Here is a 26,735-nt window from a genome sequence, read left to right as displayed (position 1 = left end):
GAGGACATCTCTTGGTTCCTGGTCCTTCTCTCTCTCTGAATATGTTGTGTATAAGGCAAACTGAGTGAGAGAGATGGCTGCCCCTTTGGGTGAGGATCAGTGGATTTCTCTGGATGAGGGTGGAAGCAGATGCTTGGGGGTTAATAGACCCTCTCTGTCACAGCTGGACAAGGCCAAGCGGGAGTTCTCGGCAAGATTTTCTGAAATTGATCTCAAGAAGGCAGCTCTGCCTAACAAATAGTCTGAAATGTCAAAGTATAAATGTTAAAGCTTGAGGGGTCATTCTCCAGGGAGTTGCCTGGGCTGGCTAGGGAGGGAGAGGAGGAGGGAGAGAGGGACACAGCAGAATCCTTCACATAAAGATTCTGACTTGGTTTTGTGATATTTAAGAAAAAAGAAAACTCTGAATTATTTATAGCACAGAAGATGTAAGCAGGCTGTAGAGAAGTAGCCTGGCTTCACATGATAGTTTATGGCCATTATTTAGCTGCCCCAGCCTTGAACTGGTAAAACTTTTCTCATTAGTCACATGCTGTTGAGCTCTACTTGAGCTATCTATCTATCTATTCTTCTTATTATTGCTATTATCATTATTTTAATCAAGAAAATTCATGTCCTTCAATATATGAGTTGGGGGACGCAATTTCTGGAAATGATATTTGCACAAAGCAGGAGTTACCTCTTTCCCTTAAAGGGACTCTGGCACACGCGTCAGTAACTCTTTCCACCCCTGTGGGTGTTTCCAGCCTGTGCCTCTTCAAGCAGGGATTCGGAAGGCCCCTGCTCTGATATGAGTGGGAAGCATCTCCGTTTGGGCCTGGGCACCAATTGGCCATGTCAATCTGGGAAGGTGAATTTCATCTCTCATTCGTTCCCTCTGAAAGATGAAGGCAATTGTCCTATGCCTCTTCTGAGTATGCTGGGCATAGGAAGGATAATTCCATTGTGTTCAAAATACCTTGGTACCTGGCAGGGGGTGGGGGGATAGCATCTATGTTATGTGAGGAGATAAAAGAAGTAAAGAAATGTTAAAAGGTTAAATAAAAACTGATTGAAGGATTGGTGGTAAAGCTGGGGGGAATGAGTTCTTTCATCTGTTTATTTTGGTCAGTGATAAAATGAATGCTTCATGTTGATAATCATATCCTGATTCTATAGCATGGGTAATTGAAATTCACCAATAATCCCCAAATTGCAGTTAGAATCACAAGCTTCACATGCTCTCTCTTCCATCTCTACACATGGTACAAACACGCTCTTAGTCACTCTCCTAATTGTTTTTGCATACCCTTGACAATACTCTGGGAGATGCAAACACATGGAGTCAACTTTTGGTCAGTTTAGGGGTGGTGAGGTGAGGTTAGTCAAACTGCAAATTAGATCATCAGTAGAGCTCCAAACAAGCAATATTGTATTTAGGAGGTGTTGCTTTTGTTGAAGATATCAATACTTTCGTTTCTTTCCTAGACCTGTTTTTTTTTCTACCTTGAAGAACCTGGAGAACATTTTGCAGTTAAAATGTCACAGTGACACTCCTGTTATAAAACTCTGAACGTGTACATATTTTTACCCTCACTAACTTACTCTACCTCCCAGAAGTCTTTGAAGTGTTTTGCCTCCACTCCCTACTTGCTGTGATGTAGAAGTTAGGCTAGCACCATTGCTCTAGGGCAGTGGTTCTCAAAGTTTTTGGTCTTGGGACTTCTTTTCACTTAAAAGTCATAGAAACCCCAAATGATGTTTGTTTCTGTGGGTTATATCCATCATATTCACTGCATTTGAAATTAAAACTGAGTATAATTTAAAAGCTCAAGTATACACACACATTCCATGTAGCTGTCAGGATGATGACATCATCACATGTCTGGAAACCACTGGACAACTTCATGAATAATACCTGCGAGACACGAGAGTAAAAAAGGCATACACTATCTTACTATTGCTGGGAAAATAGTTTTGACACATGAATCTCCTGAAAGGGTCTTGAGCCCACCAGGGACCTTTGGACCATTTTGAGACCTGCTGTTCTAGGAAAACAGGCACAAGCAGATTCTGAAATCAAACCTGAGTCCCTTTGGAGCCAGGGAAATCTACCAGTCATGCACTTTGATCCAAGTGTAGAAGTCCATCAGAATTCCATTTCTTTACTCAGACATCACTGACTGCCCCATGGGTGTTGACTTAAAGCAAACTGGCTACAACCATGCATGTTCAGTTGCTAGGAATGTGGAAAATATACAAGAAAGACTTCACCTATTATAAGAAAACAGAGTGGGGGCTGTTTGCTTGCTCTGGAGAAGAACATGGGCTTGATGTCACAGTAAACATTATTGGTTGATTGAAGAGACTCAGCACGAACAGGATTTACAAAATCCCATTGGTGAGAGCAGGAGGCATGAATGGCATGGGATGAGAGAATTTATAAGCAGCACCTTGCTGGTTGGGCATCCCTTCATTGCACTGTAGCTCTCATTGTGCATCACATTTGGACTTGTTTAAGGAACATGTGAGGCTCGCAGTGCTCTAGCCAGGACCTATGGGAGTGCCTATTTAAGTTTAGACACTCTGGCACCTCCTTCCTCTTTCTCCTAAGCTGGGCAGCTTCGGTATAGGAAGATTGGACTATGAAATGCTTTAATGTCTAGGGAGCTTCCTTAGGTTAACTCTGTATAGCACCCAGCACACCACCCAGCAGAGGGACCTGTCTCATCATGAGGTCCTAAGTGGGTGACAGTGTTCATGCCTCTTCCTGTTCATCATTTATACCCCGGGGAGCAAGAACTGCCCTTCTGTGGGATTATTTCACAAACCCACCGGAATAGGGTCTTTCAAGGAATACCTCTGAGATCATGAGCAAATGTTGCTTAATTGACTCATTCTTCAAACATATTTGGGGCATCCACTCTGTGCCACACACTCTGCTACTAAGTGAGTCAGTTGTATTTCCTGTCATCAAGAGCTTTATTGTCTCCTGCACTGGTTTTCAATTGGGGGTGATCTTGTCCCCTAAGGGACATGTGTGGAGACATTTTTGGTTGTGACAACTGAGGGTGGGTGCTTCTGACAGCTCCCCACAAGAAAGAATGATCCAGCCCCAAATGCTAACAGTATTAACGTTGAGAAACCCCAGTCTAGAGACAATACAGTCCAGTATTCACTAGTCTTGGGTAAGAGGGGACCTCCCCACTTTTTAGGGCCCTCCTTTAGCTGCCAAAAGTCCTAGGGCCATGAGAAGGGACCATCTGGAGCCTGCACCCCACCTCCCTTCTAGACAATGTTTCATTTCCTAAACCAGAATTCCTTACCCAAACAGCTCTCAGCTTGCCTCCAGGACACATGCGGGTCTCTTCATTCATCTGTTCTAAGGGTGGGCTACGCTGCAGGTACGTGTACTGCTAAGCCCAAGAGTTGGCCAAAGGATTACTGTGTGGGGGCAGTGGGAACATCGAGAGTGTCAGGGTGGGACGGTTAGAGGAAGATGGAGTTGCAGGCTCAGTGTGCACACATATGTACGCGAGACCCCTTTCACTGTGGGATGGAAGATGGGGGTGGAAGAGAAGGGAACAGGCCAGGGGCCAACTCCTTAGCACCATGTGTCTCCACTCGCAAATCTGAGGAACCAGAGACACCGGAAGTCACCTGGTCCTTCAGGTCATCCTGAAGATCAATTTCGCAGGGCAGGAGGATAAGACATGCCTTATTTATTAGTGTGTTAGCTTGATTTATAACTTCCAAATTTTAGACATGTGTGTGTGCTTCTAATTATTCCCTTGTCCCAAGTCCTTCAAATGTAAGGAATAGGCCTGGTATAGATAAGTGAGTAATTATGAAGCAATATGATGAAATTATGGGAGAGGTAAACATAGAGGAAAGACACCTAGTTCCCAAGTGGAGTTTTTTGTTTGTTTGTTTGTTTGTTTGTTTGTTTGTTTGAGACAGTTTTGCTCTATCATCCAGGCTGGAATGCAGTGGTGTGATCTCGGCTCACTGCAACTTCCACCTCCTGGGCTTAAGTGATTCTCAAGCCTCAGCCTCCCGAGTAGCTGGGATTACAGGTGCCCGCCACCACACCTGGCAGATTTTTGTATTTTTAGTAGAGATGGGGTTTCACCACGTTGGCCAGGCTGGTCTCAAACTCCTGATCTCAAGTGATCCACCTGCCTCGGCCTCCCAAAGTGCTGGGATTACACACATGAGCCACCTTGCTCAGCCTAATGGAGTTCTTAAAAATACTGAATCATGATATTGATCTGCAGATGTTTAAATAAAAATGGCAGTTCAAAGAATGGCATAATCAAAATGATCAGTTAAGACTTTAAAGTTTCCATTGTTTAGAGAGAGCTGCCTTCAAGCCTTGGAAATCCTGACTCCACTGCCTGGTGAATAAACACCACGGTCCTTTGGTGACCTCGGGCTGCCTGAGGTACACAATTGTGGAGGTTCTTCCTGCTGGACAGTCTCCACACTGGGGCAATGCTCTTACAGGCCCACCCAGTTGCCATAGAGACTGATCTCGAGGTCTCCACAATTGACTGGTATTTACTGGGGATCTGCAGCTTTCTGGATGCCGTGACCAGCATCATAAAGGAAAGAGAGGGGCTGCCCCTTCCCGGCTCCCCATCTGTGGACTATTGTGAGAATATCTCTCTGTCACAGAAAGGTAAAGACCCTGGAGAAATTGAATAGGAAGGATAGTTTTTTTCTTTTAATAACATTGTGCTTTTTTCTGATTACAAAGGTAATTTATATTCACAGTAGAAAATTCAGTGAAATACAGAAAAGCACACAAACACATAAATTATCCACCATCCCATCACCCAGAGACAACACTGTTAACATTTCAGCTTTCTGCCTTCTAATCTTTTTTATGTACTTATTTGTCAGAATCAAATCATTCCACGTGCACATGCACATACACATTACTTTGCTACCTTTTTTTAAAAATAAGATTGCATTTGCAATTTAACTGATCTTTTGCAATGTTAAAAATTTTTGTGGAAGTGATATATTCACCACATGGTTAAAAAAATACACACATATACACACACACAAACTTGCACAGAAATGTTCATAGCAGCATTTTTCATAATGGTCAAGAGCAGAAAAACGCAATGTTTATTGACTGGTGAATGGAGAAAGAAAATGTGGTGTAACCATAGAATGGATTACTACTCAGCAATAAAAAGGAATGAAGCACTTACACATGCTACAACATGAATGAATCTCAGAGAAACATGCTAAGTAGCTGGACACAAAACATCCCATTTTCTATGATGCCATTTGTGTGCAATGTCAAGAAGAGGCAAATACGGAGAGACAGAAATTATATTAGTGGCTGCCTAAGGCTGGGGTTGGAAGCAGGGATTAACTATAAATGGACCCAGGGTTCTTGTTGGGGTGATGAATGTTTGAAAACTGGTTTATGCTGGTGATTATACCATTCAGTAGATTTACTAAAAGTTGTTGAATTTTACATTAAAATAGGTGAATTTTATGGTATGTAAAATAATGTCTCAATAAAGTTTGTATATATATACAAAATAAGTTATATAATAAATATGTAAAATAAAGTTTGCATGTATGAACTCAATGATGCTTGTATATAATACATAGTAAATATATAATATATAAACTAAACATATATAATATATGTAAACTTTATTGAAGTATTATCATTATTTATCCAAATTACTGCTACAGATTGATCTATCTGTCTATAAAATGAGAGCACTCCCCTTTTTTACACCTGTTCCTCATTGGCAAGTTGTTCCTAGCACCGCTACCATTACCAGATAAGTAACCTCTGTTATTGAGTGTCCTTATGAATTATATCTAAGCCAATTATATACAAACAGATATAAATGTATGTTGTTTATTTTTTCTCTATTTTGTACAACTGCAGCTGTGTCATACATACTATTGTGCACTTTTTAGGATAATCCCTTCCCCACCCCAGTTTCTTGGAGCTCTTAGAGAACTCCCTCATTGTTGTTTTAGAGATCCATACTATCCTGTTATATTGATGTACTCAAATTTATTTAATTTCTTCACAACAGTTTGCTCTTATAAAACACGGAAATGGATTGATCCTAAATATATTGAAACTAAATAAATGTGGTTGAACCTAAATATAATATTAACATAAAGCCGTATGACCCCTATAAGCTATTTGGTATATCTGTTTTGTATATATTGGCCATATGGGGTGATACCAATGTGTACCCCAAGAGTAATACAGATGCTCCTCAATTTACCATGAGGCTATGTCCTGATAAACCCATGATAAGTTGAAAATATCACAGGTTGAAAATGCACTTAATAACACCTAACTTACCAACCATCATCGCTTAGACTAGCCTACCTTAAATGTGCTCAGAACACTGACATTAGCCTACAGTTGGGCAAAATCATGTAACACAAAGCTTACTTTATAATAAAGTACTGAATATCTCATGTAATTTATGGAATACCATACTGAAAGTGAAAAGCAGAATAATTTCACACCATAGTGAAATTGAAAAGTCCCAAGTCGAACCATCGTTCAGTGGGGGACTGTCCATATATGAGAATGAGATTCCCCACAGTCTTAATAAACAGAGGGTCATGGCTTGACTTTTAATGACTGTGTCATGCTCCACTGTGTGGACATACCAGATTTATTTGTCTAGTCCCCTGTGTTTGAAAACTTGGATTGTTTTATTTTTCCATTCTTACGAAAAACAGCACAAGTATTTAGGTACTCTTGGTGGTTAAGCTGAACAAGGGAGATGGCTCAGTGGCAGCCCTCATCAGAGATAGTATGTCTGTCACTGCATTGCTACCTCTGATGAGGACTGCAGGTATCCAGTGGATTCCCCCAAGCAGGTATCCAGTGGATTCTCCTGAGGGACAGCTATCTTGTAACAGAGAGCTGACTGTGGAAAGCTATCTCCTTCTGAAACATTATTGCTTCAGACCCAAAGATGCAACACGTTGAATGCAGAGGTCATTATCTTTTTTCAGGTAACATCAAGATGTTGCCAACATTCACATAATGTTGTTCCCCAAAGGGCTCTTCTGGCCAGAGCCTTGCCACATTTTAGGGCTGGGGATTCTGAGCTGCACAGTCCAGAAATGTTAATGGAATTCTGAATGAAGCCTCTAATCTCTATGTCCTGCAGAGGGTTAACCAAGCGTGATGCCATGACTTTCTCAAGGTCAGAGTGAGGGTTGGGAGGTAGTACCCATGTATCCTGACCTCTTGCTCTGACCTTTAAGCAGGCGGCGTCCTTGGAACACATCGGGTGGGGCATGGCAGTAGAGATTGAAGCTGGCTGTAAAAGGCCACAGACAATTCAGAGAGAGGCATTTCCAGCCAACCCACTGATCTGGGCTCCAGGCAAGGGAGGGGCACAAACTGGAGAGAAGTCAACCAGCTGGAAGGAATTCAAGGAAATAGCAACAGGAAATCTGAAGGGGTGGAGAGATTGCTAGTGAGATTATCTAAATCTGCAGCTTTTGAGGCCAAGTGATAGCCATGTTTTCTCTCTAGCAGCCCTCAGCGGTGACAGCAAAGCCCATGCTGTGGCTTCAACACCTCTCCTCCTCTTTTTCTAACAAACAGGGTCTTTAGTGTCTTTCTAGGGGTGAGCATGGATGGGGCCAAAGATGGTCAGGCAGGAGAAATATATCCTCTTCCTCTCCTCTTCTGGGTTCCTGAGCTCTTGTCTGCTGAAGATAAGTCCTGGGGGAAGGAAAGGTCTTTAGACAGCAGAGCAGATGATGCAGAAAGAGCCCAAACATATGCACGGGCAAGACAAGCATAAAGTGATGATATTAGGGATCAAGATCCAATGGCAACAGGGAAGGGAGAAAAAAGCTGGGTGTGGGAGGAGCATTGTAGTTGAAACCAATAAGTGCAATTAGGTTTGTGTCACTTCCTACAGCCCAAGCAAGCTGTTTGTTGGTCATCTGTTAGAGGTGGCTGCCAAGATGCCATGTGCATTCCAAGATCCCTGGGTGCTGGCCCTTCCTATCTGCCAGGCCGAGAGAGGGACAATGGATGCCAGCTCTGGAAGTCCACTCAGCCATGTGTGGCCCACCTCTCTGGTATGCTCCTGGAAGCAGGGGTAGTTGGAATCAAGGAAATACAGCATCAGAAAGAAGTCTGAGCACCTGCTCATTGCTTTCCTTGCAATGGGGTTGAGAAGAAGCAGTTATAGGTGGATTGAATCAGGGGTTAATGGCTAGGCCAAAGGGAAGCCTGGTGCTCTCACCAACACACCAATGTCCATCTGTTGCTTAGCCCATCTGGGCATGCCCTGGGCAGGACCTGCTGCAGCTCAGAAAGCAGGAGCTTTTAGGGGACAGACTGCACCCTCAGGAATTGGCCTTGCCACTGCAGCCCACTTCAGACCTGACTTACTTCCTGCCTGATTAACTTTCCCATCTCCCACCCCAGCTCCTGCTGTAGCTGGTATGCCAATCGGCAAACCTGCTAATACTACAGTGCCCAGAAAAGTGGGTGCTCAAAAAATATTTGTTCATTTAAGAAAGTTATTAGCTAAGGCATCAATTAAATGCGACTTTAAAAAATCTCCCTAGAAGGAGTGTCTCCAGATTCTTTGGAAATCTACCCACATAGCTAGCTTGAGTTTTTTAGGGATCGGTGGCATATGTTCTTCTTTTAATGACAGTCAACAGTTTAATGATAGTCTCTAAACTTAATGCCAAGTGTAGGCTATGCATCAGGTTTACATGGTGGATTCAAACCTGGTCTGTGATTCAGAGGGAGATGGCTGTGCACAGGGAAGTCATATACCACATTGTGATAAGTACCCATATGCCCTGGGCTTCCTGGAATTTCAGAATCCTGATCATACCTATGTCTGTCGAGATAAGTGAGTACCCCATCTCATCAGATGCAAGGCTGCTAATGATCAGAGAGGCCAGGTAGGCATTAGTCAGACTGTGAAGGATTTAAACTTCACCTGTGTTGAATGAGGACTAGGAAAAAGCAGTTGGGCCTGGGCATCAGAGATCACTGTGACTTTATAACAGGTAAAGTCAGGGGGGTGAAGTGGTAGAAGTGAGAGTGAAATGAGGCTTGAGAAATGATTGGGAAGCAGAAGAATGATATGGCACGCCGCTTAGACTACCCATCAGAGTCTGGTGATGAAGGCAGACAAAGGAGTAATTTCTAGGGGAGGACGGGTCAAGGAAATACTTTGATTAGGATGGGGGAGGCCAGGCATAGTGTCTCACACCTGAAATCCCAGCACTTTTGGAGGCCAAGGCAGGCAGATTCTTTGAGGCCGGGAGTTCAAGACCAGCCTGGCCAACATGGCAAAACACCATCTCCACTAAAAATATAAAAATTAGCCAGGTGTAGTGGCACACACCCATGATCTCAGCTACTAGGGAGGCTGAGGCAGGAGAATCCCTTGAACCTGGGAGGCAGAGGTTGCTGTGAGCCGAGATGGCACCACTGCACTCCAGCCTGGGTGAGAGAGCGAAACTCTGCCTCAAAAAAAAAAAGGATGGGGGGAAGCTTTATTCTGTAGGTGAGAAGTCAGTGGGCAAGAGGGGTTTATAGTAGTGAAGAGAGACGGGTGCTAGATGGGTCCACATCCAAAAAGTAGATGGAAAAAAAAGGAGATAAAAGCTTGAGTGGAAGCTTTACAACCTTAGAAGAAAGAGAAGAGTTATTAATTCATGTAAGATGAAAAATAAACATGAGGTAAGTAGAATTGAAGACAGAGGGAAATAAGGGAATTTCTTCCTATTTCCCTAGCTCATCTGAGAGTTAGTCCATTTATACTGGGAGATTTGTGCTCTGGTCCCTTTGACAGGAGGTCCTGGATTAGTCTTGTTCGAGGAGGGACCCAAACAAGGTACTGATGAACAGATAGTCTTTCATGAAGGAGGCAGAGCACTTCCTATTTTCACCATTATGAGTTTTGGCTGAACTCAACTGCTCTACACACTTAATTTTGGCTGTCATAGCTAAATTTGGGGTCTGCTCCCCACTTCTTTTTTAGTAGGATGCAGCTGGGGAAAGGCAGCAGGCAACCTCCTTCATCTCCAGTTTCCCACATGTCTGAGAATTCAACTTGGTGGCCATGCCAAGATATGCTGGCTCCATGCAAGGATGCCTTGGGACAGTGTCCCAGAGACTGACGGAGCTTCCACATTTGGCTCCCTCTTAGCCGTTCCCATGAAGAGAGTCACAGAGCCTACAAAACTGCCACATATTTGAGGGCTTTCCAGTAGATTCCGTGGCCCTTTTGTGTTGGTGTCAATCCTTTAATGAGTTAATGCTGTGATGGAGCTCTAGCTTGAGCGTAGGGCCTCAGATTGAGGAGCAGCTGGGATGTTCCATGAAGATCGAGACCCGAGCTTCTGATTTTCAATAACTTTAAACGTTTAGGTATTTGCTGGTAGAATCTATGCTTAGATGGCTGTCGTCTTAAGCTCGATATGAACTCAGAGCTGTGATTGATGTCCTGTTGGGCACTGCCCTGATTTAATAACTAGCACGCCTGCCTTGGTTTCAGAATTCGGATCTGCTGAAGCTGCAGCCATCTCAGTTGGTGCTGGATCTCCAGCTCTCGCTTGATGTTTCCAGAGAGTCACAGGAGCCTGTGGAGTAATGACAATAAAACCCAGAAAGGCAGCCGCTCATCTATTTAACGAATACTTATTGAGCACCACTGTCTACCAGGTGGTGGCGGAGGTGCTGGGTACAGCACTGATGGAGACGCAAGGAGCCAGAGCTCTGCCCACTAGGGGACCAGATGATAAACAAACAAATAAGTCAGGAAGATAATTATCCGACGGCGGCAGTTCGAGCCATGAGAACTGAAACAGTGTGCTAGGCTAGAAGTGACTCCTTTCCACTGAGTGGTTGGAGAGCAAGCGTTCACAGACAGGTAGTGGCTGCTGTCATGGCTCTAAGGTGGCCCTGAGCTTGGAATGTTTCAGAAGAGAAGGAAGGGCATTGGGTAGAGTGGAGAGGGAATGCGGGGGGCGGGGAGCGGGGGTGGGGGCAGTGAAGATGTGCTCAGAGGGCTAGGCAGAATCAATTTCCGTAAGCAATGATAGAGTGCATTGGGCTGTTACTCTTAACTTGGGTTTGAAGCAGGGGAGGAACATCAAGGTTCCTACTTTACAGTTTTTTAAAGATGACTTGGGTTAGCCGACCATGTCCCAGAGTTGGGGTGAGGGATGGAAGAGAGGGGTGGGAGAAGAATGGAAGCTCAGTTTGGGAGACCCCTGCCCAGGTGAGAGAGCCTCGTGGCTTGAGCTAGGATGGTGCCAGCAGGATAAGGGGCAGAGGGTCTATTGCAGATGTGGACAGATTTGAGAATTGCTTGGGTGTTGAGTGGACACGATTTATTGATGGGCTTGGGAGCACTGCAGGAAAGAGTCATCAAGGAAAACTCCTGGGCTAGGGGCTTGAGCCGTTGAGTGAATGGGAATGCTGCTTACCACATAGGGACGCCCTGGGGAAGGTCAGATTCAAGGAGAAGAAGCAAGAGTTCTTTTCGGCTGTGTTACACGTGAAAGACCACTAGACACACAAGCAGAGATGCCAAGTAGGGGTTTGGACAACGATGCTGGATTTCACAAGTCAGATGATATCTGAGCATCCTTCAGATGAAATCACTGGAGCTCCACCCTGAATAGACATTCCGTCCTAAGGATGCTCAGAGTTGAGGTGGGCTGAAGTTATCTTACTCTTCTCCTGAAATCATCAGAGTTCTCGCTTTTGTTGAGGTGGGTCAATACAGACAGACTAAGCATCCTATATATGCCACTGCCCTTCTGAATCTTCATCCTGTATGTGAAACACGCCTTTTATGCAGTATTTTATGCCCCTGAAATCACTAATTTGTGGAATTGTGTGTGGAGCGGCTTTTGCTGTAATTTTAGCATTACGTGGGAAGTTTATGATGAATCAACACGAACTCCCATATAATACATGGTAGACATTTCTGCTCTAAAAGACCTCCAGCCACCCCACCAACAGGCCACCCCCAAGCTTATAGGCTCCCTTTTGTTCTCTCCTAAGTCACCTGAGTTCCTCTCCTCGGAGGAATTCAGCCACTACACTCTAAGGTCCAGAGCAATTTAGTTCTTTCCTTTCCCAGGTTGAGCCTACTTTTGAATTTACACAGACTAATTAATGTGCTCTGCTAAACAATGGGCCACCGACTTCAGGTGTAACTTCCAGCAGCACAAAGAACTGGTAGAAGCTTAAAATGATTCAGTCCTCTTTCATAGTCTCTGAGAAGCAGAGGCAGCAGTAAAAAGACTTATTTCTCACTTCTGTGAAGTCTGTCACCCCACCTTACAGAAGTGACTACAGTTGGATTCACAGTGCACATTTGTTTCCTCTGTGTTAACGTAATTATAGTGTAGCCACTCTATTTTCCAAGAGCTCCTTTTTTTCCCTATGCACTGTGCCAAATGATTTCCATATAGGATCTTATGCAATCCTACCACAACACTGTGCTATAGGACATCTTATGAGTCCATTTTGCAGATGAGGAGATTGAGGCTCAAAGAGGTTATACAGCCAGGGGCAGTGGAACCTGGGTGGGAGTCCAGCCCAATCTCTTAATGAAGCCACACAATGTCCCACAGGGATGTAGTGTGTAGATGCTCCCGCTGTGGGACTGTAGGCGTCATAATAATGTACTTCTTGGTGATAATTATATGAAGACAATTGCCATGGTGATGATAGCTGAGACTTGATGCTTACCTAATAGGTATTTTTTCTAAGTGTTTTACACATGCTAACACATTTGTATGCAAAACAATTGTATGAGGCAGGCTCGCTCTAGTATTATTATACCATTTTACAGCTAAGGAAACTGAGGACCAGAAATGTTAGGTAACTTTTCTAAGATCTCAGAGTGAAATGATTGGTGTAGGCTGGATTTGATCCCAGACAGTCTGGCTCCATGGGTCACGTTGAGTGGGGTTGGCTGGAGCTAAGAGGATTGGGTGAGGAGGCAATACAACCCACTGCTCCGCCCCCAGTGCAGAGATGTCTTAGTCACGGCCCTGAGAATTGATAAACGATAACCAGAACAAGGTGGGCTTTTCTGGACAGTGTTTCCCTAAATGACTACCCCACCCCTGCCCTAAAAAACAGAGCAGCGTGGCTCACACCTGTAATCCCAGCACTTTGGGAGGCTGAGGCGGGTGGATCACCTGAGGTCAGGAGTTCCAGACCAGCCTGGCCAACATGGCGAAACCCCATCTCTACTAAAAAATACAAAAATTAGCCAGGCATGTTGGTGGGCGCCTGTAGTCCCAACTATTCTGGAGGCTGAAGCGGGGAGAATTGCTTGAACCCAGGAGGCGGGGGTTGTTGTGAGCCAAGATTGCACCACTGCACTCCAGCCTGGGCAGCACAGCAAGACTCCATCTCAAAAAAAGAAAAAAGGCCGGGCATTGTGGCTCACGCCTGTAATCCTAGCACTTCGGGAGGCTTAGGCGGGTGGATCACCTGAGGTCAGGAGTTTGAGACCAGCCTGGCCAACATGGCAAAACCCCGTCTCTACTAAAAATACAAACATTAGCTGAGCGTGGTGGCACGTGCCTGTAATCTCAGCTACTCAGGAGGCTGAGGCAGGAGAAACGCTTGAACCTGGGAGGCAAAGGTTCAGTGAGCCGAGATTGTGCCATTGCATTCCAGCCTGGGTGACAGAGTGACTCTGTCTCAAACAACAACAACAACAAAAACCAGAACAGCCCACTTTGTACGTACCTGGAGTAACTTGCAGTATGTTATTTGGGCACTTTTAAATTTTTATGGCTATTGTTGGAAGATGAAAAATCAGTTTCCATCTGACTGTTGCTTGCAAGTCATTTTTCCATATATTCTCCCATTTATACACAAAGAAATGGAGGCCCAGGGAGAGTAGGTAGTCTATCCTGACCCCTCCAGATCTAGATACACACACCTTCCCAGTACCCCAGGGTCCTCTCCTTGTCCCACCACGGGGCTTATTACAATGTATTCAAATTTCCTGGGTGACTCATCTATCCTCTTCTCTATACCGATGAGCTCCAGGAGGACGAGAAGAGTCTCTTATTCCCTGCTGGAGACCCTAGCCCAGTTCCTGACACACACTATAAAGTTTAATGCATATTTGTTGAATATGAAAAGGATTGAACCAACATGTGACCCCTCAGCAAATAAGTGGGAGAGCCCTGGTTGGCACCTTGGTTTCCATCACCGTCAACAACGATCTCCTTTGTTGAACTGGCCTCTTTTCTGCCCAGTACCACTAGGCAGGGGGCTGGAATGGGGCCAATGGTCGTGCCTGTTGGCAAGTTTGGAGCAAGGGTTACTCAGAGGCGTTGGTGTAGGTGAACATTTCCAGCTCTCTTCATCCTCTTCTCAGTTAAGACCCAAGCACAGAGCTACTAACTCGCTGCAGTCCCATTCAACCCCTCGTAGGGTTCTCTATGCCAATGTGAACGGCACTCAGCAAGGTCACTCTGTGTGCCTTCCACCTGCTGTGAGTTTATCATTTGTTGTCGGCTGCCCTCCAGGTTCCCTGAGCCATGCCGTGTCCCCAAATCTCCTGACCCTCTGTAGCGTGCAGCAGATAACAAACAGCCTCTGTAAGCTGAGCAAAGGCCCCAGTTAAACACCTATGGCCTAGGGCAGTCAGAGTTCTCTATAGCTCAAAGTGGCAGGCAGAACTTCTGCAGACAAATTCCTGCTTCAGGTGGGCAGGTGGAGTAGGTGTGTTATTAAAGGAGGGAGGACCTTTGAATTTATACTCGTCTCTGTGTCCACGGGCACAAGGCAGCTCAAACTGAGCAGCCTCGGGTAACAGAGCAGAAATGAATCTTATTTTTAGCATGCACTCCATGCCTGATACTATGCTAAGGGATTTACAGATGAATATTAACTCATTTGCTTACAAATGTTAGCAGTAGATCACACTTCCCAAATGCAATGTCATGTCAGAGAGGTTGAGTAAGATGTCTGGTGTCACATAGCTAGTTAGTAGCAGAGCTGGGAATGCCCAGTCTCATAGTTCACACTCCTCCTTACCACACTCCTGGGAAATCTATGGCCAAAGAATTGTGCTACTTGTGCATGAGAAATGAAAGGACTTACTAAAAAAGACAGACGCTGTGGCTGTCAGGGAATTTATGGGTGCACTTATAGATGATTTTATTTATTGATCTGTTTATTTTTAGCATCCACTAGATGAAAACAGTGTAGACAGCACAGCAGGTGAAAAGATGACATGGTTTTTCACACATGTTAAATTAGTAACCATGGGCACTGAACAGCAAATTCCATTTCCCAAACCCTGGCCAGCTAGAAACTTTTCTGGGGGAAGTCTCTTCAATGAAACATTTATCAAGTGGTTTTGCTCTGTTGCAGATAATATTTTTTTTTCCTATGACTGGTCTTCCATCCAAATATTTAATTCCTTCCTGATTTTATAACTTGGATTTCCTAACTCATTCTGCCTAAGTCATGACCTGGAGTAATCGGAGATTCATATATGTTTGCTCCAAAATCTCACAGATAAGGGGAAATTATACAGGAGAATATCCATGTGTAATTGACACAAAACACATCTGCAGGAGGCAGGAGGTATAGCTGTCTGGTCATTCAGCCTCCATACTTTTTGTACTGAAAGTGGGAAAATGAGTAAGTACTTAGAGAGGAGACATAGAGGGAAAGGGCTAGTTTCTAGGGTAAAGAGCTGGTGTGGGAAACATCTCATCTCACATATATCCCCTAGTTGGAATTTGTAGGACTGTACAAAGAGAGCCCAAGGGCTGGCCTCTCGGAGAGCTGGCAGGAGAGGGATGGCAACCCAGGCCGTGGGCCTTGCCTGAACCCTGCACAGTGGAGGCTCAAGGAGTCATTCACATCTGCCCACAGAGCCTACAATAAAGATCTATTTCAGAGAAAAAAAGCATACACACACACACACACACACACACACACACACACACACACACACACACACACTGAAAAGGTCTGGCAGGAGCAGAGCAGCTGCAGAAGGCAGCAAAGAACAGGCTGGCAATGGAGGTCGATAACCCGCACGGAGGAGGGGCAGATGGGCAAGGGGGCTAGAAAGAACTCGTTCCCAGGGAAAGCAGAGAAAGTGGAGTGGTCTATTCCCAAGGAGGCCACAGCCTGCAGACAATGTGTAGATGTCACCATATGAAGCAGCAATCTCTTCTGAAAAAGCAGAGAGGAAATGTCCGCCAGGCTGATAAGAAAGGGGAGTTGGGGTCCTTCTGCAGAGCATAGAAGGATGGCTCCTTTTGGGGCTCCTGAGTGTGTTTGATGTGGGTTCCTGAGGCTGATGCCCCAGAGACCTCACCTTGGTTCTTCTGGGGCCACCCAAAGAGGTCCAGGCCTATCAATAAGAGGTGGCCATTCATTAGCTGCACAGGTCTAGTGATATTCAGTGAAGATTTCTCCCTTCTCTATTTTCCACTGACCGTCAGTCCCAGAAACCACTTGACCTCCAATGTCTGGGATCTTCCCAGAGACTAGTAAGAACAAATAACATTGACATCATTGAAACCTCACACTTCTCTATGTGACTCAGTTTCTGTCAGTACCAGGAAAACGATAAAGAATCGTCTTCTGGTCCAAAGCACCATCCATGTAAGTGTTTGCTGATGACTTTAGCTAGTGCCCGAGAGGCAGCAAACTCGGAGCTTGGTGAACACACATGGACCTGATCCAAGACCCCCAAGCCAGGGGAGGGATTCCAGGGGTCAGATAGGGGCGCTTGTAATTCCACCAGTTCTTTTTCTTTGGTTTTCTTTTGTTGTTTTCTATAGAATTGTAGGGTGGGAGAGGTTCAGGAGACAGGCCAGAAAACCACCGGCCAGTGCGTTTAACATCTGGTGTGGGGGAAACTCTTGGAAGTCAGCTCAGAGGATGTGGTGGGAAAACACCTGGCAGAGTGAGTGGGCTTCGACAGGGGGAAGCATGGATCCAGGATCGCGGAGGCCTTGCGGAACGAATCTGCTGGCTGCGCTGAGCTGTGGCTGCCCACGCGGAGGGCCGGCGTGGCTGGGACTCGCAGGCCCTGGCCTCCGACCTTGTTCCCCATCAGATACAGGGTGAGGGCCAGAGCGAGAGGCTTAGAGGGGGCGGCGGGGGTAGGGCAGGAAAGGCGGGGGTGCCTGGCAGAAGCCCTGGCTCCGGGAGTGGGAGTGGGGAATGGGAACATATACCTTGAAAGGGGCCCAGCGTGACCTCTCGGGACTCCCGGACAGTCTCCTCAGTCTGCGGAGGGTGGGCTTCAGAGACTTCCAAAAGAGTCTGATGGAAACGGTGTCCAAATGCAGAGGTCACGCGGAAGGAGATGGTGCCGGGAATAATGGAGTGCGCACAGGGTGAGCCGGCGGCCAAGATAACTTTGTGTCACCAAGGGCTCCAGAGGAAGCCTGTGGGAGCTGGGCTGAGTTACGGAGGGACGGGGAGCTGTCTGTCCCCGGGGCAGGGAGAGGAGGTGGGGGTTCGCAGAGAGGCTGATCACCAGCGCTCCACTGCACACCTGAGGGAAGACAGGAAGCCCCAATGGGGCAACCAGAGCAGCCCAACAGAGCTTCCCTGCTGTGCAAGGGCAAGAGCCCTTTCATGGGGGGCACGTGTGTGTCCTAGGAGCTCACGACTAGACTGGATTTTAAGCACGTTAGGAAGAAGAGGAAAGAGGAGTCTTTCTTTTCTTTCTTTCTTTCCTTCCTTCTTTTCTTTCTCTTTCTTTCTTTTTCTTTTCTTTTCTTTCTCTTTTCTTTTCTTCTTTCTTTCTTTCCTTTCTTCTTTCTTTCTCCTTCTTTTCTTTCTTCTTTCTTTCTCCTTCTTTTCTTTTCTTTTCTTTCTTTTGAAATGGAATCTTGCTCTGTTGCCCAGCCTGGAGTGCGGTGGCGCCATCTCGGCTGACTGCAACCTCTGCCTCCCAAGTTCAAGCGATTCTCCCACCTCAGCTTCCCGAGTAGCTAGGATTACAGGTGCGTGCCATCACGCCTGGCTAATTTTTGTTTTTTTAGTGGAAACTTGCTTTCACTATATTGGCCAGGCTGGTCTCAAACTCCTGACCTCAGGTGATCTATCTGCCTCAGCCTCCCAAAGTGCTGGGATTACAGGTGTGAGCCACCACACCCGGCCAAGTCTTTCTTGAAGAAAGACCCTTAGGGTTAAGGACCCCACATGGGGATTCTAGTTTCTACATTTCCGTGGACTTCGGGCCTGCCTTCCATTTCCTTCAGAAGCAGGGCATCACCTTCTCTCTGGTGTCTGAGCCTTCTGCTTTAAGCAAGAGTAAAGTTAGGCTTTTCCACAGAAAGGCCTCCCAAGTCTCTGTGGAAGGACTCACTGGGTGACCTGTTCATTTCCTAGGGTCCTTTGTGCATTAACTAAAATCCTTTCCATCAGTAAGTTCATTGCTGGGGGAAAGAATGAGGGTAAGCAGACTTCTTCAGGCCAGCAAGCTTTTCTTCTGGAACCTGGTGAATGTAGGAAGTCTAAGGGCTCGGCCCATGTCCACAAATGAACTGGAATTTTATGCCTTAGTATAACTAAATCCTATCACATAAAAATTGAATGCTGGTCTTTGCCAACACCACTTACTCTCTCTAGTCAGGCAGCAAGGTTGTTTTGAACTGGTTTCCTCTGAGCTGCCCAGGAGGTGAGCTTATGTAGGGGGCAACAAAATAAGCAGAGATGGTCCTAGGACACCTATTTTTGCATAAGGAATAGACATTCTGAGGAGAGAAAGAGAAGATCAGGAAATGATCTTACGGATAACACAGGATTATTTCCCGTGTTGGGGATTGGGTTGATTTCTACTAGTGGAAGTGGGGACGGGTACCCCAGATGGAGGAAAGCTAGGACACAGATGCACAGCACGAGCTCACATGGTTGCTCAGAGGACAGTGGATGGCCAGCCTGTCCATCTGTTGGATCTATTTAATGCATTTATGAGGATAAAGCCTGGGGATTTGGGCCAGGTTATCAGAATTCTCAAATATCAGACTAAAAACTGTCCTGAAGACATGGATACTCTATGTTAAGGCCTATTGAGCACCTACTGTGTGCCTCCCAACTGTTTTAAACACTTAATCTCTTCATTTAAAGATATCAAAACTCCATGCAGTAAGCACTTTAATAATAACCGTAACAATAATAAGGGAGAATCCTTGCAGGTTTGAGCAGAGAGCAGGTGAGAGGAAGAAATTGGCATATTCCTTCCCGAACTTTTATGGGCATTAGCTCCTTCGACACGCTCCAAATGTACGACTGTACACATGATTTCACTGAATCCTCATGGCAAGTCAATGAGGTGGATATTTTCTTAATTTCGCTCATGAAAACAACATTTGAGACTGGTTTAGTAAATTGCCAAATGCGGCCTCTGAGGATGTGTCCTTGAGTGTGAATTTATACCCAGTTCTGTCTCATTCCAAAGCCATGTTCTTTCTCAGTCCCCTTACTCTGATCCTGGTGTTTGCTCCCAAGGTCCCCTTCCTGTCCTTTCTTCTTTTCTTCGTGTCTGTTGTATTTTGGGGGGTGCTGCTGCCTCTCTTTTATAGACCAAATGATGCTCTTTCTCCTTATTCTGCCTGAAGCAGCTCAGTTTTATCTTGGACCCATGGTTGTAGGTAGCTGTCAAGGTCAATGGTGTGTCCTGCAAATGGGTGACTGGGATCCTCTGGTCTCCCCTTCTACGGTTCACCCTGTGGTCCTCACAGGTGTTTCTCTTCCTGACCTCAAGACTTTCATCATGGAGCTGCATCTCATGGCTCCAGTGCCCTGCAACCTATGTCTTGGCCCAGAATTCTGGTGCTGGAAGGGACAGCCTTTAGCACATTGTGCTCTGCGTGTTCTGGTGAGAACATGACATCACAGGGACGGCTTGGGGGACAGAGCCAGATGCCAGGAATGAGAGGCCAAGGCAGCATTCCTGGGTAGTAGCTGGAAAGGAAGGGCCTCTGGGGAGATTGAGAGGTGGGATGTGACCCTCATATGGGCACTTTGAAGAGGGTTTGTCACTGTCAGGCCAGAAGAGGCAGAGGAAGGAGGGGGCCCAGCAAGTTGTCAGAGGGACACATTCTCAGTCGGAGCCTGAGATTCATCTTTCAGCACCTAACTTCACAATTCCAGATGGCTCTCCTTGGGGAGTTCTTTTTCTCTTTATTCTTGGCTCAAGCAGTCACTGCTTAATGAGAGCCAGAGGCACTCTTGCCACGGGAAAGGCCAACAGAATATAGAGACCAGGAAGTGGGTATGAAAGGGCAGGCGTACTGTGGTAGGGAGGCTGATGTTGGGAGCCTGGGTGTTGGTTGGTGTCTGAGCTCATGGCGGTGGAGCATGGTGGGGTAGCACTGGGGAGCAGGGACACTTCTGAACTTCAGCCTCAGCTTCTGAACTTCTTGTGTCAGGAAATGTGAACTGGAAATTGCCCCAGAACAGACAGTCCTCTGCTGATCCTCTCTCTTCACTGCTTCCAGAAACAGCAGGGTGTCTTATTTATATGTTCATCTTGGTGGGAACACAGTGTCTCGGTGTCCTAGACTGCTACCTCTAGCCTAAGGGTGCACACGTGCCCCAGAGTGGGACCTGCTGTTTGCTGAGCTTCTTCAGAGCTGACCACGGAGGCACTTTGTTTAGAAGTCTGGGGAGCCGGAGACTGAGGGTTAGGATGTGGGTCTCAGTACTTTCCTGGTTCAATACGATCTTGGTTCCTCGGGCCATTCTCGGAGCCAGGACATAAATAAGTCTGTTCTTAGGAACTTCCTGGCTCTTTTCCCATTCTCACTCATCTTTCCTTTCTTTTTGCCACTCCCCCAGATTCCCTTCTTCCTCCCTCTTTGCAGTGTTTTCCCTGCTAAAGTCTCTAGCAGTGCTTCAGGGGGAGTTTTAATTTATTTGCCCATTCATCATATAGTTAGTGGGTACCTACTTGGTCTCAGGCCCTGTGCTAGGCCCAGCCTACGAACTTGAGCAACACATGCCTTTTGACTTTTGGCCTTTTGACTTGTGCAACTGCCAGCACCCTTCAAAGCCTCTTTGTAAAAATGTCAAACTCTGAAAAGAATGTGTGAGGGAAGCCCTAATCCAGAGAAGGCCTAGGGACGAGGCATGGACTGGCCAGCAGAAAGATCCAGGTTCTTATTCTTAGGTAAAAAATCCTGAGCCAACCTGGTCCCAGGGCAGCAACAGGAACAATCAGGGCTGGTGGTCATTCAACCTGGAATCCATTCCCAAGTCATTGTTACCCCATTTGACTAATCATTTTTATTTTTTATTTTATTTATTTATTTTTGAGACAGAGTCTTGCTCTGTCGCCCAGGCTGGAGTGCAGTGGCGCAATATCAGCTCACCACAATCTCCGCCTCCCAGGTTCAAGCGATTCTCCTGCTTCAGCTTCCCAAGTAGCTGGGATTATAAGCACATGGCACTGAGTGCGGATAATTTTTGTATTTTTAGCAGAGATGGGGTTTCGCCATGTTGGCCAGGCTGGTCTTGAACTCCTGACCTCAAGTGATCCACCCACCTCGGCCTCCCAAAGTGCTGGGATTACAGGCGTGAGCCACCGCACCTGGCCTTGATTACTAATTTTTAAATTCTAGACCTCTAAAAAAATTCTGCAGAGTTTTTGTCTTAGATCTCCAGCCTTCAAAATGTCTTCTCTTAGAAAGGTCCTTTACAGGAAACCAGGAGATCCTCTTTTTTCTCCTAGTCTATAAATCATCCAGGGATGGCTCTGCAGGAGTGGTGGTTTGAATAGTTTAGCCATGCTCTACTCTTCTGTCCAGGTGGAGAACTGACTGGGTTGGCTGGAGACCCCTACAAAGGGCCTGTAGCTGGCCAGGGCACATGTTTGTCTGGCTATGCTCTTATGCAATACCTTATGCAATTAGCTCCTCTTGCTTGCCATTCATAGAAGGCGTGAGGTGAGACCCAGCCAGGAGGCCAGGAGAAAGTGTGAGGGCAGTTCTTTGAGGGCTGGCAGAAATTTATATCTTGAGCCCAGGCAGGGCCCTGCCCTCTTGGTGGTCTCCTTCCCCCTCAAAGGTTCAAAGCTGGCCCTCTTTCTCCCTCCTGCCACTTCAAACACCCAGAGTTGGAGCTCCCAGAATGTTATTCTTTTCCATTTAAAGACATTCCATTTCATGTGTAATTAAATATGTGGTATTGAATTAATGTTTTCTTCTGAGCCTTTTTGGCAGCCAGAGACCCTAGGGTCTGGTTAGTGCAGAGAAAACACACGCTTCTCACAGATCCTCCCTTCCTCTCCCTGTTTTCTCTTCCCCCTTCTCTCCTGCCAAGAATCTCCCTCCTCCCTCCTCCCTCCTGCGTGTAGTCACGCTCAGGACTCACCTTGTAATGGGTGAGCCTGAGGTCCTGGAAACTCTGTTTCTGGGTGGGGCAGCAAGGTCTTGGGTTTCTGCATTCTGGTGCTGGCTTTATCTTCAAATGTCATCCTGGTGGCTCACATTGAGCTTAGGTGGTGGCAATCAAGGGTAGGAAGAATAGGTTCCAGGATAAAGTGACACACTCTCTCTTTACAGATGTTATTGGTTTCTACCAAGTACTGATGCCAGTGCAGAAAGCAGAGCCTCTCTCTGAAGTAGGGGTTGCAGGGGTTGAAGGGGGCTGTCATGATTAAAGGATGTCAAGGTGGCACAGTCTGCTCAGCCCAGCCTTTAGAGTCCCACAGGACACCTCTAACAGCTAGGGGATCTTGGGCAAGTTACGTAACCACCTGGAGCTTCAGCCCCCTCATCTGTAGCACGGGGACAGCAACATATTGTGTTTAAGAGACTTGTAGGGCCGGGCACGGTGGCTGATGCCTGTAATCCTAGCACTTTGGGAGGCTGAGGCAGGTGAATTACCTGAGGTCGGGAGTTTGAGACCAGCCTGGCCAACATGGTGAAATGCCATCTCTACTAAAAGTACAAAAATTCACCAGGTGTGGTGGCACGCACCTGAAATCCCAGATACTCGGGAGTCTGAGGCAGAATTGCTTGAACTTGTGTGGCGGAGGTTGCAGTGAGCCCAGATTGCGCCATTGCACTCCAGCCTGGGCGATAGAGCGAGATTCCATCTCAAAAAAAAAAAAAAAAAAAAAAAAAGAACCCACGAAAGACAGAGCTGTAAAGGTATCATGTGCTCAGCCTGGTATCTGGCTCAGGATAAGTGCTCAATTGATGGCAGTTATTTTTATTATTAATAAGGGCACAGAGGGATAACAACGAGCTAAAGGAGCAGTGCAGAGCGAGATGGAATCCACAAGGGAAAGATCTGTGAGGTCTCAGTGATGAGGACAGGAACTAGTTAGGAACTGAGTATCAACATGAGCCAGGGAAGAGGGGAGGGCAGGATGGTTAGGAGCTGCCACCAGGGGCCAGCCCTCAGGGCTGCTGGTGGTGGCAGGGGACTGCTTCTGAGCCTCTTAAGTCAACACCTTCAGAGAAGGACTGTCTCAGTCCTGTCCACACACGTGGTCCCCAAGACAATAATTAGCCAAAGCACCGAGGTAGCAAACAAGTTTCTTTTAAGGCAATCTGAGTGTGACTGAGTGCACACACTCACCTTTGGGGACCGAATTTGCTGCTTGGCATACAGCAGGATAACTGTTATTTATAACCACCGACCCTGGGAAATCGGGTTTCTCTCTACTGATCAATGCCAATCTTGAGTTGGTGGCTGTCTCTGCCTTTTGATGTCTTTATTCCACTGTCTGACCAACCTCCTCCCGCAAACTGTTTTGGCCTCTGAAGGAGGAGGAGGTCAGGCATGGTGGTGGCAGCCGTAGACAGAGCTGGTGACCTCTGAGCCAGGGCCAGCTTACTCCTGGGCAAGCTCGTGCCATTTTATTTTAGGAGAAAATCATCATCCTTCTCCACATTTCTTTTCAAGCCACGATTTTATTTGCAAGATAGGTATTGAGCTCCTAGTTGAAATGAAAATTGGAAAGGAAAGAAAAACATCTGTTAAATGTCTAATATATTTTAGATATTTTATATCATCTTTATTATCTAAAAATTTTAAATCATCCTCTGAACAGTTCTGCCAAGTCAACATCCATGTTCCCATTCTACAGATAAGGAACTAGAGGTGTGGAGAGGATAGGATTCAATTAGTAAGTAAGAGGGTCAGGATTTCAATAGAGATCTGTTTTTTTTTTTTTTTTTTTTTTTTTTCCCAGTCTTCACTCTTTCAGCAGTGCCATTTGGGGCAGATTTTTTGTTCCCTCTTCCTCCCTGGTCGCAGGGCTGAGCAGTTTATGCCTGCCACCTCCCTGCCCTCATTCTCCCAGAACAGGGAGGTGAAGCTGACAGTGGTCACCTCTGTGTCCAGCGATGTCAGTGTATCCAGCGGCTCTGTGTATACCTCCCCTCCTGCCCCACAGGGCAGCCAAGGGGAACAGAGGTAGGATGAGGGATAACCCCTGCCTGCCCACTGACCTCTCAGGGCTCTGAGATTTTCTGTCCAGAGGTGACCAGTTACCTCAATGGATTAGAGATTCTGCTCTAGGTCACGCTTGCTGCAGGCTGGAAGACCTCCCAGAAGTGAATCCCACACATATGGAATAGTTATCTTGGTCCCCACTACAGAGAAAGAATTCTTGGAGCAGCCACTAAAACACAGAAATCTTGTTTCTGTTCTTGTGTCAGATGAACCGGTTGTCCTGTGGGAACAAGAAGATCTACAGGTGGCTTCCTCTGGTGGAACCCAGTTGGTGGCTGTCTCACAAAAAGGAATTAGGGAAAAGCCAGGCCAGAAGGTCCCAGGAACTCTTTTAATTTTCCAAAGAACCCTTCCCATTACATAGCAGCCTCCTGCTTTCTCCAGCAGCCCCTTTTTTGTTGGAGATTGGGAGGTCTTCCCACGGCCTGGGGTATTCATCCCCCTCCCTGCCTCCCCTTCCAGTGTCTCCATGTCTGAGCCTTGTGACCCAGACTCTGCTGGGCCAGCCAGCCAGGCAGTAAAAGGAGATTGATGCCCTCTCCTCTTAGGAAAATCCATCACTTTTTGGCCTGTAGTTCAGATAGCTTCACCAGAGGCAGCTCTGAACAGCACTGTGTGAGCTAAAAGCATGCAGAAGCAGGGACCCAAATAGACGCGTGGACGTCAGAAGTGAAACGGCTCACTCCAGTCATTCCCCAGGGCCTGAGCAGAGGCTCTTCCTCCCGCACTCTGTCCCCAGATACACTCTTCTCCCCAGGGCTTTGTCTGTTCTGTAAGGCTTCCAGCGGGGGCTCCTGCCCTCGCCCTTGGGAAGATGCTGTCATAGAATTCCAGGATGAGCAGAGTGAGGGAAAGTTGAGTAGTGGAAGATGGAGGGTTAAGCCTCTGTGAACTGGATCATTTTAGTGGCCGTAAAGCTGGGAAGACAGAGCGAAGGCAGCCTAAGGTAAAGGAAAGAACACGGGTTTCGGAGTCATAAACAAGAGAGTCCTTCTTTGGCCTCATTTTACCTCTGTGAATTTGGCAAGTTACCCCCTGCCTCTGTTTTCTCACCTGTGAAAGGGGTGTAATAACACTTATCTCTCAGTCTCTCAGGATTATGATGAGAATCAAGTGTTGAACACACAGTAGGTGTTGAATACATAGCGTGCAAGTTAATTCCCTTTGCCCTACTGTTTCCTCGGTAAGTTCAGTGAAAGAAGCTGCTCATATGGTATTCTGGAGTCTCCAGTCTTGTTGATGCATGGGGTTGTCCACATGGAAGTGATTTGCCTTATGTGTTTGGCCCAAATCCAGCCAGTCTCTGCCAAAGCTCCCTGGTTACCTTGTGGAGCTTCTTATCCTCATGATGAGGAACCAGTCCTTTCCTGGAGGAGAATTTATGGTCGAATAAAATCTGTGCTTATTTCCCATTCCTCCTTCAGCTCCTTCCCAGCACTCACCACCCTACCCAGGGCTAAGGACAGGTATTGGTGTCAGAATTCTTTCACCCTGAAGACAACAAGAATGAGCCAAGGCTATTTTCTTCTGAGCACCTGAGTATTTCCACATTCTGGAAAAAGTTCCATTTGCACATTTGGGGAAGACACTTTGGCCCACGGAGGCTTCTGCTTGGGCTTTTTCATGTGCTCACAGAGAGCAGATGAGCTTCCAGTAATATGGTCACTTGCCCTCTGCTACCTTCAAGGCTCACAGCTGTCACAGCTTCCCCACTCCTGCAACCAGGGGTTTGCAGCTGCTGCCAGGCTCTTCTGGGATGTTGAGGGAGGGCTGAGAAACCACTCCCTGGATGCTGCTCCCACTTGGCTTGTCTGAATCTCTCAGGGGTTGTGATTCTTGCTGCCGAGGGAAGGAGAGGAGAAGGATGGATTCCAAGATGTGACCGAGGCACAGCAGCTGAAAAACAGAGTCTGGTTCTCTTTAAAGTTCCTCCATTCCCATTTTGCACTAATTGTAGCTGGGAGTGAGTGTTCTGAGTGGAGCTGGTGAGGTCTCCCAGCCCAGAGTTGTACTTAGGGACCCAGGAAAATCTATATTGTTTTGCCTTTTGTAGAGATGTTTCTAGAACATAAGAAGGCAAGAGAGGCATGATCTGCACTGCATGGATGGGTAGTTGGGCCTCTGAGAAGGGACTTGACTCAATCTAGGCCACACAGCTAAGGAGGGAAGGAGGACCTTTGAGCTAAGCCCAGGACGTCTCACCTTCTCCTGGGCTTCTGGAAGTGAGGCATGGCTAAACTGTTTGTGAGCATGGTACTTGTTT

At 46.5% G+C, this 26,735-nt stretch overlaps 1 protein-coding gene and 1 non-coding gene across 19 annotated transcripts in view; both read left to right on the top strand.

Annotated features, from left to right (window-relative positions):
* NTRK3 (neurotrophic receptor tyrosine kinase 3) overlaps nt 1-26,735 on the top strand; it is a 396,989-nt gene that overhangs the window by 286,732 nt on the left and 83,522 nt on the right. The window lies entirely within an intron of this gene.
* On the top strand, nt 23,740-23,802 carry MIR11181 (microRNA 11181). Its single transcript, NR_162119.1, has one exon. It is a non-coding gene; the product is annotated as a microRNA 11181 (primary transcript).

Source organism: Homo sapiens, chromosome 15 (genome assembly GCF_000001405.40).
Source record: "Homo sapiens chromosome 15, GRCh38.p14 Primary Assembly".
Taxonomy (NCBI): domain Eukaryota; kingdom Metazoa; phylum Chordata; class Mammalia; order Primates; family Hominidae; genus Homo; species Homo sapiens.
The sequence above is the reverse complement of the archived record's forward strand: the minus strand, read 5'-3'. Positions and strand labels throughout refer to the sequence as shown.